This window comes from Homo sapiens, chromosome 3, assembly GCF_000001405.40.
Source record: "Homo sapiens chromosome 3, GRCh38.p14 Primary Assembly".
Lineage (NCBI taxonomy): Eukaryota > Metazoa > Chordata > Mammalia > Primates > Hominidae > Homo > Homo sapiens.
In genome coordinates, this window is record NC_000003.12 from 69,939,269 (window position 1) to 69,956,140 (window position 16,872).

At 37.0% G+C, this 16,872-nt stretch overlaps 1 protein-coding gene across 12 annotated transcripts in view; it reads left to right on the forward strand.

Annotated features, from left to right (window-relative positions):
- Nucleotides 1-16,872, forward strand: part of MITF (melanocyte inducing transcription factor) — a 228,869-nt gene that overhangs the window by 199,805 nt on the left and 12,192 nt on the right. For 9 of the 12 annotated variants that reach the window (NM_001354607.2, NM_001354608.2, NM_198159.3 and 6 more), the window contains 3 exons: nucleotides 1,968-2,063; nucleotides 9,783-9,900; nucleotides 12,562-12,618. In NM_001354607.2, coding sequence (NP_001341536.1) covers nucleotides 1,968-2,063; nucleotides 9,783-9,900; nucleotides 12,562-12,618 — 271 coding nt within the window. Of the gene's footprint in view, nucleotides 1-1,967; nucleotides 2,064-9,782; nucleotides 9,901-12,543; nucleotides 12,619-16,872 lie in introns of all 12 variants that reach the window. The other 3 variants (NM_001354604.2, NM_001354605.2, NM_000248.4) reach the window with 1 other exon arrangement.

The following is a 16,872-nucleotide window of genomic DNA, read 5'->3' on the forward strand; positions in this document are numbered from 1 at the left end:
CATTTTTTTCCCCCATTGTTTTTTTTTTTTTTATAGAGAAAGCTAGGAACATTGCCATTTTCCTCATAGTATCTCATGATTAAATAATGACAAGGGAGAATAAACTAAAATGTGTTTTTCCCCTAAGTTGCTGCAAAGATTAAAAACTTCTTAAAGTACATAAATTTTAATAAGATATGAAATATGTACTTTAACATAATCCATATATGTTATACAAATTTGTAGGTTAGCAATTTTTGTATTAGTAAAACCAAGATGTGTGTGTATAATCTAGATATTGTTTCCTAAATGGAATCTCATGGAACATACATTTTGAAACTATATTAATTTAATAACATATAATGGATGCTTTCCCAAATAACTAAAGTTTCTTCTACTACATCCTATTTAATGGATATATAAATTATGCTATATCTATTTATATATCTATGCATGTATATAGATATAGGAGAGAATGATAAGCAACAAAATTTGTTGCCTTTCTATGTTTCCTGTCATCAACTTGCATTATTTTTGTCATAAGAGAAAAAAATATTTTAAAAATGCTATTACATCAAGCCCACTAATTTTATTTTTCTAAGAACAAAATTAAAAGTGGCAAGGAAATGTTGTTCATAAGTTTCCTAGCCTATTTGCATATTTACCAACTCAATTAGAAAATCATCTCTTAAAGACAAACAAAACAAATAAAAGTGGTGTCAATAGAAATGGAACCTAACAAACAGTGGATAGTAGTTATTCAAAACTGGCCAATTATTCTTTTTAGGGGTCATTAATAAGACTCCTTTTTTGAGTGTTTACTATGTTCCTGGTACTTTGAATGCTCTGTACAGTTTGTCCTGAAATCATACAAGAATCCATAAGACAGTAAATATTATGAACCCCCATTTTATAGATTGACAAACTGAGGCTTTAAAAGATTGGAGGCTTTGCCCTAATCTAGAAAGCAGGAGAACGGGGATTCCAACCCAAACCTATGAATTTTGGATTCTCTCCTCTTTAATGGAAGTGGCAAGAGACAGAAGAGCATCCCTGTTAGTTCTGTGATTTCATTGTGTAACTATGAAGTCCTGTTAAGACCCAAGCACAGACACACCAACTAGCTCAAATACATAAGGTGTTTATGAAGAAATGTTTTCACAGGCTTGTCTTTGCAACTGCTGCAATGCACATGTAATCACTGTTGTTTATTATCATAACTTATGTTTTGGTACTTTAGAAATAAAATTGATCTAGTGGGAATGTCAGCTCCACGACTGTAATGATAACCTCATCCTGGTGTACTCCCTGGGGAGTACCAAGCACACTGGTAGCTGTACAAGGAGAAACTTATTTTACAAGTCACTGTAAGATGGGTGCAGGGATAGCCAGTGGCCTGGGAGCCACAGTGTCCACACTTCCCTGTGGAACACTACAGACGGTGTTTTCCTTCTGCAAGAAAAGGGTAGGGGCCATCGTCTTTAGGGAAAAAAGGAAGTAGAATGACAGCTGTCATTCAAGATGAAGTGCTGTGGTACATCTCTCCTGTTTAGGGCAGGCAGTTTAGCATAGTTGTGAAAGCATGGGTTAAATTGTGGCTCCAGTCTTTCTTCAGTGTGTGACTTTGGGCAAGCTGCTTCTCATTTATTTCACCTGGAAAATTGCTATAATAATAGTACCTGCCATGATACGGTTTTCGTTAGGGCAAAATCTTAGCCTATGAAAATCCTCGAACCCAATGCTTGGCAACTCATAATCACTCATTAAATGCTGGCTACAAGTATTATCCTCATCACCTATTCGTGTTAATGGTCTTCAATACTATTTTATACTTCAATACTATTTTAGTGGAAAGAGGACAGTTACTTCTTAGAATCTAACTAAAGACCATTATTGCTTTGGGTAAAAAAAGACCATGAGTCTCTTTTTAGGTTGTGTTGCATAGTTTATTTATTTTTGTCTCTCTTCTCTTACCCTTTTTCCTACAGATGGATGATGTAATCGATGACATCATTAGCCTAGAATCAAGTTATAATGAGGAAATCTTGGGCTTGATGGATCCTGCTTTGCAAATGGCAAATACGGTATTGATAACCTTTTTTTAAGTAGAAAATCTTGAGGTGTTTCCAGGGTTCTTTTCTTTTTTCTTAAACTTTTATTTTATCTTTGTAACTGGTTCACTGATTAAATGTATTAATAGTAAAATGGAGAATTATCTCAGGATCACAAATAAGTGACTTTAACATCAGAAATTAAGAAGTTTTTATGAGTTTATGAATAATCCCATGATAAAACTCTACATTCCCTGGAGTCCACGAGCAGTTTTGATAGGGCATTAGCCCTTCCAATTCCCTTGACATCTAATGCCCAACCCAGTACACTGCAGCCAAGGGAACCATTGTGAACTGCACTATTCACAGTGGTGCTCTAGTTGGCCTGAAAAAGTTGGTTCAGTTTTTCAAGAAGGTTTTCTCATATTCTTAGGTGATAGAGGGACATTGGAGTTACCCTTCTCCAACAGCAAAATCTATTCCAACCTCAGTTCATAAACAAGTGGTCCTATTTGCTATTGTATGTTACTTGTTTTTCTCTGTAATTTAGAGCCTTGCCTATATTGTTTATTTTCCTTCATTCCTTACATTTTAGTCTTATGTTACTGTTTTACCAAAGTCTTATTGCACATCTTATTTAGTCCTTGCAGTTATTCTGTGAGTCAAGTTCGGATGGTATCATTGCCCTCAGTTTTAAACTGTAACTAGGTTAGACAGTCTTACGCAAGATTACATAGCTTGGGTGTATCAGAGCCAGGCCTGCTTGGTAGGTCTTTGAATGCCTTCTCCAATCCTTTTCTGTTTCCTCTGAGAGCAATGCTATGAGACTATCATATTCTTAATAACTAGTGTTTTAAAGACCAATATTTATTGAGAGGAAAGGGAAAAGGGGAGTTGTTTAATGGGTATGGAGCTTCGGATTTGCAAGATGAAAAATTCTGGAGATCTGTTTGATAACAATGTGAACATACATAACACTACTGAACCATACACTTAAAATTGGTTAAGACGGCAAATTTTATCCTATGTGTTTTTTACCATAATGAAATTTTTTAAAGGTATGACTAACTTCCAGTAGTAAATTCCCTTGGCCAAAGGACAAAATAACACTTACTTAGGTACACCAGAATCCTCAGAAAATTGAGTCTTATAGTTAGCATTTTCTTTTCTTTTTTTTTTAAATCCATCTTGATCCAATTCTTCAAGTTCACTTCCTTGAACTCATGTGGGGTGAGGACTTCCCTTGAAACCTCAAGCTTCTTTTATGATATTTAGAGTTTGTCTACTTTCTACCCATTTAAACCCACCCCCTGATTTTGGAAGAACCAGGTGTTCTACTATTGTGATGAAAGTTTCCATGCCATACTCTCCGAACCTCTTGGAATCCTTGGTTGGCTTCTGTGGAACCTTCCTGCTTACAAGTTGTTGCATCCTATGAGGCCAAACTACACTTATCTAGCACTCAGAATCCTAGGACAAACATGAGTAAAACACTTGGGGGAGCATGCCCTGGGGAATTTATAAATATACCCAAAGACATGGGTATATTTACATTTCACTGCTCTAGCAGCATTAATTAGCAATGGCCCAGTCATCTCAAAAGAACTTTGCTGTGAGAGTGGTCATTTTGCTAGTGGTGTCAAATGGGTCCCTGGGCACACTCAAGTGAACTGTAGAATTGACATGATTCTGTAAAATCATTGACTTTTTTTGTAATGGCAAAGACCTTTGATATCATTTGGTCTAACCTAGTACTCAATGCATTAGCCTCCTCTTTTTTTTTTTTTTTTTTTTTGATACAGGGTTTCATTTTGTTGCCCAGGCTGATCTTGAGCTCCTGGGCTCAAGTGATCTTCCTCCCTCAAGTAGCTGGGATTATAGGTGTGTGCCACTACACCTGGCCTGACCTTCTCTTGCATCTCGTTAGTATTCTCCACAAAAAAATCAAGGCATCCAGCTTCTTGGAAGCCTCCAAAAAAGGATCTGTACTAGCTCACTAGGGAAATAGCAAAGCACAATGGTTAGAATTTAGAGGTTTCTGACCAGATCTGGGGTCAAACCCTGAATCTTCCATTTCCTCTGTGACCTTGCATGTTATTTAGCTTCCTGAAACCCTACATTTCCCCATCTGTAAAATGGGGCTGTTATATATACCTATATTATGTGGTCAACTCACTTGGTAAAGCATCTGTAGTATTTAGCATTGGAAACATAAGTTGTATTCAATAATGTTATCTAAATTATTAAGTATAACTTATTAATTATAATATCAAATAATATTGATAGTATTTGTTTATTCAGCTGATCTTCACTGAGCCCCTATAATGTATCAAGCTCTATGTTAGCTATCTGTGAGACATATCTATCTCACAATATCCCTCACAGTAAATAACTCTGTAAATTGCAGCATGGGTCCCAGTTTGCTTCATGGAGAACTTTTCCACATACCACCCCTTCTGAAGACAGTTGTCATGACCCCATATATGCTTCTGTCCTTTAGAATGAATACTTGGCTGGGTCCATGGTTCACGCCTGTAATCCTAGTACTTTGGGAGGCTGAGGCAGGAGGATCACTTGAGACCAGGAGTTGGAGATCAGCCTAGGCAACTTAGAGAGAATCCGTCTCTGTAAAAATGTAAAAAATTAGCTGGGTGGGGTAGTAGTACATACCTATAGTCCTAGCTACTCAGGAGGCTGAGATGGGAGGATCACTTGAGACCAAGAGTTCAAGGATGCAATGAATCATGATCGTGCCACTGTCCTTTAGCCTGGGCAACAGAGCAAGACCCTGTTTTTAGAAAACACATTTAAAAATAAAAAAGTAGAATGAATCCTCATACCTCTTCATTCCATCTACATTAGCGTTGAGGCCTTGTTCCTTCATTATCTCGTTGTTCCGAAAGTATATTAAAGATTAATTTAGCATTTATGGATATGCCTAATAGGTGGCCAGCACCAGGCAAGGTGCTGTGGATGCGAAGGTGACTAAGGTGTGCTTCCTGTTCTCACGGGGGTTACCAGTCTAGAAGGGGGAGACTCTTTTAGCCCTTGAGGGGAGAAGGACAATTCAGGAGCAGAGAGGCCATCTCAAGGGAATTTCCAGATAAGAAAGATCCTCTGGGCAGAGTTGAATTAACTCCCAGACAGGAGAGGAGTCCCCTGCAGCCACCCTTAGAAGTCACTGACTTTATCCCGGCATCCACTTCTCTTCTTTATCCCCATACTGGAAAGGCTAAATGTGGCTCCATTAGAGTCTTTCAACAAATCTATTTCAGCATTTTGCCATTAGGGGAAAGACAATGTAACTTCAACATTAGGAGCACAGACTCTGAACCAGACATCTGAATACATACTCTTGACGGAGTGATTCAACCTCTCTGCTTGTGTTTCCTTGTCTGTAAAATGGGGATCATAATAGCATCTACTGCAATAGAATTAATGGGAGAATTATAAGAGGTAGCCCACAAAAAGCATTTAGAACAGTTGGGCCCTGATAAGCTCTCACTAAAAGTAAGTTACTAGCTCTTATTCTTGATGAACTTGGGTTTTAGTTGTCAAAATTAAGTAACAAAGCTACTGCAACCTATTAACATTTTAATTTTTTCCCACAGTAAAGTTTAATGTTCTTCGTGTTAGGCATTTTTTTCTTTTATTTGATTATTTGAAATGCTTTATTTCAAGTTAACTACTTAGGAAAAAATAAAGTGGAAGGAACACTTAGAGAGGAAACTGTCCTAAGGGAATTGAAGTCTAGAAATAACTATTCTGAGAGCACAAGGGCCCTCTTGTACTATCACAAACAAAGAATAAAAGTCCCAGTTTACTTGTGTTAACAGTGCTCAATTGATATTCAGAAAAGGGGACCATCCAGAGAGAAAAAATAATAACGTTTTACAATTATCATTTACTTGGAAAAATATTCATTTTGGTGGAGCACAACATTGAAGAACTCAATTCAGACCAGTATGGGGGCATAGACCCAGGCGCATCTTCCTTCAATTTGTTTGTCCGGATTAGACTGTGGCTTTCATCTGTCCATGGTGCAGTTTGTGCTCTGGAAGTGAAATCTTGTCATTTAGGTAAATGGCCTGGATAAAAATCCCACAAAGATGTGAAATATACATGTTAATAGAAGAAGTCTCTTCCTTTTTCTTAGCTCTAAAGGTGTTATTTTGACCTAATTATGATGTTAACTGTATTTATCGGGAAAGTTTTCTAATGCAGAAGAACCAACTACAGAATCCTTTCTTTAAAATGCATGGCTAGGAGACACATTTTAAATTATTTCCATCAACCTTCCTTTTAGTAGCTTCAGCAAATAAGAGCGGTTGATAGAAAGAACATACACCACCATTTAGGACACAGTTTCTCAAATGTGGAACTGTTGACATTTGGGATGGATAAGTCTTTGTGGTGGGAGACTGTCCTGTGCATTTTAGGATGCTTAACAGCATCCCTGGCCTTCACCCACTGGATGCCAGCAGCAAATCCCCTGCAGGTGCATCAACTGAAAATACCTCCAGATATTGATCCGGGGAAACAAAATCAGCTCTAGTGTGGAATGCCTGACTTGGAATAATGACTGGTCACCTCAGCCTTGCAGATTCCCTGATTTCTGTTCCTAGATTTGCATTGCAGTCTGGTAAAAAATTGTCTAATCGTTGACAATGTACTTAGTAATTAACATAGCAAGTGGTTTTGTTGATCAAGTGAAAATTAGCTCACCTGTCAAAACTGTAAAGTGGGAATCCAGTACTCCCTAGAAAATTAGAATACTGTATTGTTAATCATAGCAGTTACCACTTATTGATCACTGAAGTAGCAGGCACTGTTTCACCTACTTTATCTCTATTAAATCTTATAAGACCCCTGTGAGAAGAATGTTGTCACTTTTCAATTGGAGACACTAAGCCTCAGAGAACTTGCTTAATATCACATAGCAAGTTCGTAAAGAGGCAGGATTTTAATCCGGATCTCTGACTCCTAAGCACAGGCTATAAAGTTCTGCACCATTAATCGGTAAATTGGAGTATCCACATTCGGCTAGTAAGCGGCAGGGTTTTTATTTCCTCAGGTCTAATTGGAGATGAATTGAAAGTTTGCAGTTTCTAACTGGTTAATATCAGCATGTTGATACTCTCCCCACCCCCAGTTCTGCTGTTAACATGGGACGTGAGCCTCCGACCAAAAACCTCCATTAGGCAATGGCAAAAATCTTGGCTTTTCTTTCTGTAAAAAGCAGTAAGATGCCATACACAAAGTGCCATTTTAATTCTGTGCTTGGCCCAAAGTAGGCACCCAAAAAATGAGATGACCCCCAGCAAAATATTCTGCCATGCTTTCTGCTTCCCACTCCTAATCAGCAAGTATGGGAAAAGCAGCCGAAGCAGGAAATCTTTCAGAGAAGTAGATAGAGGGCTATAAGCTTTTTCAACTGGAAGTAATGATGTCTGATCTCAGTAGAGTGCCCAATGAGGCATCTTGCTATAGGGATTTTAATTCATTTCCCTTTTTGATGTGCACTGTCGTCAATCCATGCTAATCACAGCAGTACTTTCTGTAGTTTTTCATGCATCTCAATCCATTTCTCACTAGGTATCCCCCACGTTGCTCTTTGTCTCCCCCACCCTGTCCATCTCGCTGTCTATGGCAGAAAGCATTCTCTCTCTCAGTCATGTACATATCTCTTCTTTAGAATATAGTTAGAAAATATGTTCTTGTCCAGAAGAAGCTTAGAATTAGATATCTGTTCAACATAGGTCTATCAATGACTTGGAGATGTGTATCAGTTGCTATTATTTATCCCTAACAAATCATCATAATAACACAGTGAGTTTTGCATACAATTTGCCTATGAAAACCATATGTGTGATTTACCTTTCTAGAGCAAGTGGAATAATTTTTCTTTTAGCTTATTGCTTTGAATTTTCAAGTCACATTCTTGGTTTGTTAAAACCTCAACGTTTTCCCAAAATCCAAAATTCTCAAAAGATAGGGGAATAAAGCTTTGGAATCCAAGGAGTTACCAGACATCATGGCAGCTGTATAAGTTTAGTCTTTCTGGTACTTTACAGGGCTGTTTTGAAACATGTGAGTGCCTTTCACTTTGCGTTAAATTGGACAAGAATAAAACTAAACACACACAGAGCAAGGTTGACCCTGAGAAGGTAACCTATTTCAACTAAAACCACTTAGTGAAATGACAGCTAATAATCAAAGTCACTTTTTATCAATTCCTTAGTTAGAGGGCCTTGAAATACCATACAAGGGCATTTTAAATGACCACGATGTCTATTTTTGTGCCTGTGTATGGGGGTATGTGTATTAGGTTTTATGCATATACTATAAACGCTGCTTTCAAAAAGGAGCAAAAGAGGGAGTTGTATTCTGCTGGTCTGTCTGTCCTCCCTGCCTACCCCAATTCTGTTCGAGCCAGTGTCTGATTCACCCATCAAGAAGTATCTTATTCCATGTCCATTGCCTCCCACCCAAATCTCTTTAGCTAGGGGTTTAATTCATAGAGTATATGTTTAGAGGCTATCACAGAAATAGATGCAATGGTTATCAATGAGGGGAAGCACATTCGACTTGTATTTTGTGGTATATTTTCATCTGTATGTTAGTGGTCATTGGAGAGGATGCAAGGTACTCTGTTGAATACAGTTTTTACTAGATACTTCTCAGTCACTAAACACTTTAATCACACCTAAATGCTTTCTGAATGTACTTTTCTCAGATGTAGAATACAATTCCATGTGTAATCAAGAAATGGGAGGGCTAAACGACTTAAAGTCTTACCCAGTAATCATGGTTATAGAAATTGTTTGAATCAATCTAGTAATGGTACGTGTCTGCAGTGGAAGGAGTGAGGTCAGTCAACGATTTCTCCATAGTTACTATTTCAAACTGTATTTCAGGGCATGGGAAGGGAGATCAACTTGGGCCTTTTCTACAAAAACAGGCCTATAAACTGCTGCAACCAGCTAGTTACCAAGAAATGCACATACACAACCAAAGGAGGACTCGCTGCTTTAAAACAGCCCATTCAGAACTAGAGGAAAAACTCTGACGCTAGCTTGGGGAAGGCTAAATATTTCTTTTACTTTTTTTTTTTATTATTATTCTCTTGAAAGTGTAAATTTTTGCTCTCTTTTAAAGTCTGTGGGCTCCCTCTTGTGGCTTTGTGGAAAATTTCAATTTCAAGGAAACGCTTTTTCTCTCTAGCAATAAGGAAATCATTTCCAATTAAAAAAAAAAAAACTTTCATTGCTTTTCCTTGTAAAAGAAAAAGTGAGAAGAAGAGGTGGATACGAGAAGGAAGGAACAAAATTAACTTTAATGGAAAGTCCTATTTGGTGAAAAGGTCATTTTATATACAATCCTGTTTTACAATAATAGCCAACATTTCCTGAACACCCACTGTTTGCTACTAGTTGTACTAGATAATGCATTCACCACATTATTCATTGCCTCCATGCTCAAAATAAACTGACTGGCTAGTTAGAGTAGTCATTTTATGGGTGTGAGACTGTACTTTCCTGCCTCAAAGGGAACTGGTTGAGGAGATCCTGTACCTCTCTTTTAATACCTGTGAATGAAAAAGTAAACATCTCATATTTTCCTATTTTAAAAATGATTTTTTGTATCAAATAATTTTTCTTAAATAAATCCTAGAGTAGGATATAGGTTTTATCTGAAAAAACATGGGAATTGTTCAACAGTTAATTTCTGTTACTGTTTGTCTCTCTCTAGTTGCCTGTCTCGGGAAACTTGATTGATCTTTATGGAAACCAAGGTCTGCCCCCACCAGGCCTCACCATCAGCAACTCCTGTCCAGCCAACCTTCCCAACATAAAAAGGGAGCTCACAGGTAAACACCTAGTAAATGTGCCTCTTACTGCAGATTTCTGTCCATTTCCTGATAAGACAAAGTTATTGATATAGTGATGTGCAAACTATATCCAACTCATGGACGTAACTTTTATAGGTCTCTGCAGTGGTTAAAACATTATGCAATATTTTAAGACGGAGAATTTATACTTGAAAATTCTGTTTTTTTTCAAGGAGATCCTTGAAAATCTCCTGAGATACTGGGAATCGGGGCCACCATTACTGCATGTCACCAATCACTGTGTGTGTGGTGAAGGTCCCCTTTGTGTTGGGGATAGTAGGCAACTCTTTCAGCTGTAACTGTCTCCACCCTACCTGATATGTATGTTTCTAACAAGCCCCTAGAGGCATTTGCATTTGAGAACCCAGATCTGAATTTTCCTTTGACACACATTCAAGCCCACAATTGGGATAGCATAAGAATATATTTCTCACATCTTCAGATGCCTCCTGTTGTCTTTTGCTGTATTGTGTGCAAAAGATTTATTACACAGAGGGGAAAAAATTATAAAATGGAGCAATGGATATTATTTGTTCTTGAGGCAAGTGTGAAATTACTTATTTCTCTACTTTGCTTAATGCTTTAGGGAAGGCATTTATTTGGTCATTAAAACATGGCGGAAACTATATTAGAACTGGCATTCTACCATGGTGAATTTTATGGCCCTTACCACACCCCTCTTTTTATTATTTGATCCTTGCATCCTGCAGGATTGGATGAACAGACTGAGAATATGGAATATGGATTTGGTACAGAGAATTCCTGTTCCAGTCAAGGATGTCTTAAAAAAATTTTTTTTAGAAAATAAGCAGGAGAAAGATGTTTTTTAAAAACCATGGATTTGAGTGAAAAGAGTAATTAATAAGTAAAAACCATCCAAAACCAAAACACAAGTAGCTACCCTACCAAAAAGGAAAATTACTGCAAGACAACAACAACAACAAAAGCAAGAATCGTCGGGCAGGCACAGTAGCTCACGCCTGTAATCTCAGCACTTTGGGAAGCTGAGGCAGGCAGATTGCTTGAGCTCAGGAGTTCCAGGCTGCAATGAGCTGTGATCACACCACTGCACTCCAGCCTGGGCAAGAGGAATGAGTCCTGTCTCAAAACAAAGCAAAACAAAACAAAACAACAACAACAACAACAACTTAAGAATCATTGAAGTGGAGGGTATGTAAGTCATGCTTCTGTGTGAGGAAAAAAAAACTAGAAAATGATTTGAACTGACCATCACAACTGAAAGAATTCAACTTCTGAGTTATATATATATATATATATATATATATATGCACACACATACACACACACACATAGATATGCATATATATGCATATATACATGGATGTATGCATATAGATATGCATATATACATGGATGTATGCATATAGATATGCATATATACATATATAACACCCATATAATAAATATATATGGTGTGTATATATATATATATATATATGCTTCAGTGGCTATAAGTTATGCTAAAAAGATTTCTATTTTGAGATAAAATTCTAAATTATGGTAGTGTAATGCTTCAGCTATCACTTCTGAAAAGGAAATAACAGAGCTTTCTGGATCCCCAGATTGGTCAAGTAACATGTTTTGTTTTGTTTTTAATTCTGTTTTGTTTTGTTTTGTTCTCTGTAAGGCAAAAAGTAATCTCTTATCCCAGAGATGTCACAAGAGTTGCTATGCAAATAGAGCTTTCCAATTGCAGTTGCCACCAAATGCCTCTATTCCTATTTTGTTTTTATAGACTCAAGCTAGTAAATAGTGGTTCCTAAGTTATTAGATGATTTCATTACAGCAGGTTTTAACAGAATCTGGCACCAACTTCTGAAAAAATGAGTTCATTCTATGAAGTAGTGAACTAGTTAGAAGAGACAGAGATCCAATTTGGCAGCTTTTTTTTTTTTTTTTTTTTTTGAGACAGGGTCTCTCTGTGTCTCCTGAGCTGGTGTGCAGTGGTGTGATCACGGCTCACTACAACCTCGACCTCCTGGGCTCAAGTGATCCTCCCACCTCAGCCTCCCGTAGCTGGGACTGCAAGCATGCACCACCATGCTGGACTTATTTTTTTTTATTTTTTGTAAAGACCAAGGCTGATCTTGAACTCCTGGGCTCAAGTGATCTTTCCACTTCCACTTCCCAAAGTGCTGGAATTACAGGTGCAAGCAACCATGCTGGGCCACTACTCAGTTTTTATATCAGCACGTTACACAGGCATCAAAAAAGGATTGAAAGCTTCTATGGCCTGAAAAGAAAATATATCAGACCCCTGATAATAGAGTATCAACAGCAAATTGACATAGTTTTCTAATTATCGATTTCTTTCTTGCTAGTATCTGTATATGTTTACAGTGTGCTATATATAATTTTTACCAGGGTTTTTTTTTACCATTTTGTGGAAGCCCAGTTTTTACATATTGTATATATGATATATATATTGCTTTTGAAAACATGCAAGCTTTTTAAAAAGATATCATTTTTAAAAAAACGTATTTTTACTTAGAGTCAAGTCAAATAAGCTTCTGTATGTTTGGGAAATGAGATATTTTGTAGTTTACATTTTGTGCAACTTCAAACAGTTCCAACTTCTAATGACTTCATTCACGTGCACAGCGTGTATTTTTCCCACAGAGTCTGAAGCAAGAGCACTGGCCAAAGAGAGGCAGAAAAAGGACAATCACAACCTGAGTAAGTTGGTTTTATTTATGTTCATGACATTTGATATTAATGTTCCCCATATATCAAAAATGTTTCCAGAAATTCTGTAGAGGAGAGTTGATTCCTACAGCTGTTAAAATTCTCTCTTATGGAAGAAAATTGTATTTGACAGAAACCAAGGTATATATTTTCCCCATATTTTATCTCAGATCAAATTGAATTTTGTATATATACTTATTTTCAGTTTCTGAAGAGTTTTTATTTTTCTTGTTTCTAGTAGTGGTTTTCTCTCTCTCTCTCTCTCTTTTTGGTAAGAGGGAGAATTGATCCCCAACTACCCAATTATAAGTGTTGCTCACACTGGAACTTATTAACAAAAGGGGATTAGGGAAGCACCTTCTCCAATGAGATTTGAAAGAAAAAGAAAGAAAGAAACAGATCTGAAGGGGAGTAAATGGATGAGGCAGCCTCCTAAATTTCTGACATGATTCGTGACTTAAAAAAAATAGCCCTAAAGCATTTAAAATATTTTTTACGTGTTTAATTTACTCTTGATCAAATCTTCAAGTTGTCTCCTACGAATACTTTAATTTTGGTTTAATATAAACATGTAAGACAAGTTGCACAGATTTTTTTAAAAAGGGATTGGGCTTGGAGGTAGGAAATTGTGTGTGAATTTCTCATCTCATGGCCTCATGTCCTCTGTTTCTTAAATTGATTTTTAAGAATGTGAGTCATATATAAACACTTTCTCCTTATAAAAATGATAGAATAAGGCCAGAGTTCCCCTTTAGTCCCCAGGAATATGCGTGTTGGTTTCAATTTGGCATTGCTCTTCCTGACCTTTTTCTGTGTATTAAGAATATAGACACATGCACACAGAAAATAAATCATATGGATTTCTATATGTTTTAACACAAACGGTATCATATTGTCCATTTTATGTTGATTTTTTTCTACTAAGCAGCATGTTTTGAAGACCTTTTGCTGTTAGAAATCTAGATCTATCTACTTTTTGAAAACAAATTGCATAGTATTTTATAGTGTGACTGTATGATATTTAGTAACTTCCCAACTGCTGTGTGTTTATGTTGTTTCTAGTTTTTTCCTATCATAAGCAATGCCACAGTTAACATTTTTATATGTGTCTCTTTGTGTACAAGAAAGTTTGTTTCTCTAGGTTAGAAACCGAACTGAGAGGCACAACTTCTGGGTCCTGTGGGTGCTGGTTTTTACTTTAAAAGCTACACCCCTCCCCAGTTCTCATGTCAAGTGTAAGAAGCTCTCCTTATCTTTTAACCAAGAGATAAACTATTATCTCCAAGGCCTCCTCCAGCTTCTAAGTAATTTTACCCTAAGATATTTCTTCTTTTAAAACACCTTAGAAACAAGATAATTAGGCATTATCCAAAACTACTTAAGTGAGATGTGGAAAACTGAGTTGGATCTTGTCAAAAACAATAGATACCTGTAATTAGGCACCTGAACTCTCAAGGTCAAGGTTGTCAGTAAAGTGCAAACATGATCAGCTCAAACTCTGAAGGCTATGAAGCAATCTAAAAGTCTCAGCCAACCATTGGGAATTAATACTCAAGGTTAGATTGCCCCTTGGTCAAGCTGTTCCTCTTCTAGGAATTTATTTTGTAAGAATATTGCCAAAATGTACAAAAGGATACATTCATTTATTCACTCATTCAATCAGCCATTACTGTATGTATGTGTGTATGTGTGTATATATATATATGTATGTATATGTATATATATATATGTGTGTATATATATATATGTATGTATATATATATATATAGAGAGAGAGAGAGAGAGAGAGAGAGACAGAGACAGAGACAGAGACAGAGAAAGAAAGAGAGAGAGAGCGCCCCTGTTTTGTGTGAGGCACTTTTCTACAATGTGAACCAGAAAATGAGTTTCCCATCCTGGGAAGCTTGCCTTTGAGTTAGGGGTCATCTACCATGTATTGCTGAGTAAGATGAGCAAGGGTCAGAATAATATGTATAATATCCCATTGTGTAAAAATAGCACACTGGGGAGAGACGTGCTTGTCTCTGTGTTTATATGAATGTATATGTGCTTGGGAGACAATCTAGACATCACCCTTATCAGTGACAATTTGCCCAGGCATATAGATGTTGGATAGTATAAAGACTTGGCTTTTACTTTTTCTTTAATACACCTTTGTATTTTTTGAAATTTTTTACTAGCTTATATCTTCTTTCTAATAAATGATTGGAAAGGGAAGTCATGGAACTAAAAATAAAATGTAGTACACCTAAATATTGACAGTGAAAGGTGTCAGCTATATGCTGGTGAGTGAAAAAAAGATGCAGAGTCCTTTTTAGTATGATCCCACTTTAAATGTTTTGTTTCTTATTTAACACATATTTGTTGAGAGCGTACTATGTGCCAGATGCACAAGGTTACTTGGAATGCAACAGTGAATAAACATAACAAATAGATCAATGGGATACATGAATATGGGATGGCAGAAAGTTCCACGTGGAGTCAAAGGGCAGGCAAGGGAGTATAGTGTCAGCATGGACATGGGAGGTAGTGAATCAGTTTCAAAGAGGGTGACCAGAAAGTCTCTTAGGTAAATCTGAGTCTACCTGAGGGAGGTGAGTGCAGTGCTGTTCACATATCTGGAGGTACAGTGTTCCAGGCAGGTGGAACAGCCTTATGAAGTCCTCCAATGGGGCGTGTCTGGCTTGCTTGAGGAATAGCAAGGAGCCAGAGGGGCTAGAGTAATTTTATGATTATTATGTGCTTGGAAAAAAAATAAGAAGAAAGTATCATACTTCAGAGTTTTGGGGAAGGTTAGCTAGTGGATCAAGGACCCCACAATTCCTTCTTCAAAACCATTGACCATCATTTAGGGTTTCTATTTTATACAAGCCTAATGGTAGGACTTCGTATTATATAAAACGGATTTCATCATTGGAATAATCCCTCAGCCAAAACAAACTGCAATTTATATTGGGAAAGCAGGGAATCACATTATTTATCTAGGTGTACAGACTATTAGTGGAACAAAAAGAAGCATATATTCTGGTATTTAGAGTAACTATTAACAACTTTAATCCATTTTGTTAGACTTTAAATTATTTGGAATTTATTTGTTTGACTACATTAATTAGAGACATTTATCATGTCATATGCCTTATTATGTCATCCTCCCCTAAGAACATGATAGTTGACCTTACACTGAGATTTATAAAATAGGAATGCTGTGAAGATTCATGGTACAGCTAAAAATGCTAGACTTCAGTTCTAGGGCTGTGCTATCTAGTACAGTAGCCATTCACCACTGGTGCCTACTCAGACTTGAAATATGGCTGGTCCAAATTGTGACGTAAAACTGAAAGTGTAAAATGCGCCCTGGATTCCAAAAACTTAGAGTGAAGAAAAGAATGTTAAGTACTTAATTTGTAAATGTTTACGTTGATTGCCTGTTAAAATAATAATATTTTGGATATAATGGATTTAAGAAAATGTTAATTTCATGTCTTTCTTTTTACTTTTTAAATAGTACTACTAGAAAATTTAAACTTATATGTAAATTATATTATATTTCTGTTGGGTAGCACTAGGCTAGGGCATGGGTTTTTTGTGTGGCCCATGAGTTAAGAATGTTTTTTACATTTTTAAATGGTTAAAAAAGGCCGGACGCAGTGGCTCACACCTGTAATCCCAGCACTTTGGGAGGCTGAGGCGGATAGATCACTTGAGGTCAGGAGCTCGAGACCAACCTGGCCAACACAGTGAAACCCCCTTCTCTACTAAAAGTACAAAAATTAGCCAGGTGTGGTGGCATGTGCCTGTAGTCCCAGCTACTTGGGAGGCTGAGGCACAAGAATCTCATGACCCAGGAGATGGAGGTCGCAGTGAGCTGAGATCCTGCCACCGCACTCCAGCCTGGGTGACAGAGCAAGACTCCGTCTCAATAAATAAATAAATGCTAAAAAAAAAATTGTGACATGAAAAGTATATACAACGCAAATTTCAGCATGACAAGTAAATTCTAATGCTTTTCATTGATTTGCCTTGCAAAAAATTGTACTCGTATGTTATATTTTGAATTTTGTCAGTAAAAAATGTGTGGAAATTTGTTTTCCCTCCGCTTAAGTAAATATCTGCATAATATCCTCAATTTTGCTACTTATCCCACAAAGCCAGAAGTACTAACTTCCTGGCTCTTTGCAGAAAGTTTGCTGACTTCTGCTCTAAGGGGTTAGGTTAGAATTTGGGCTTTCACCAGATATTGTTGGA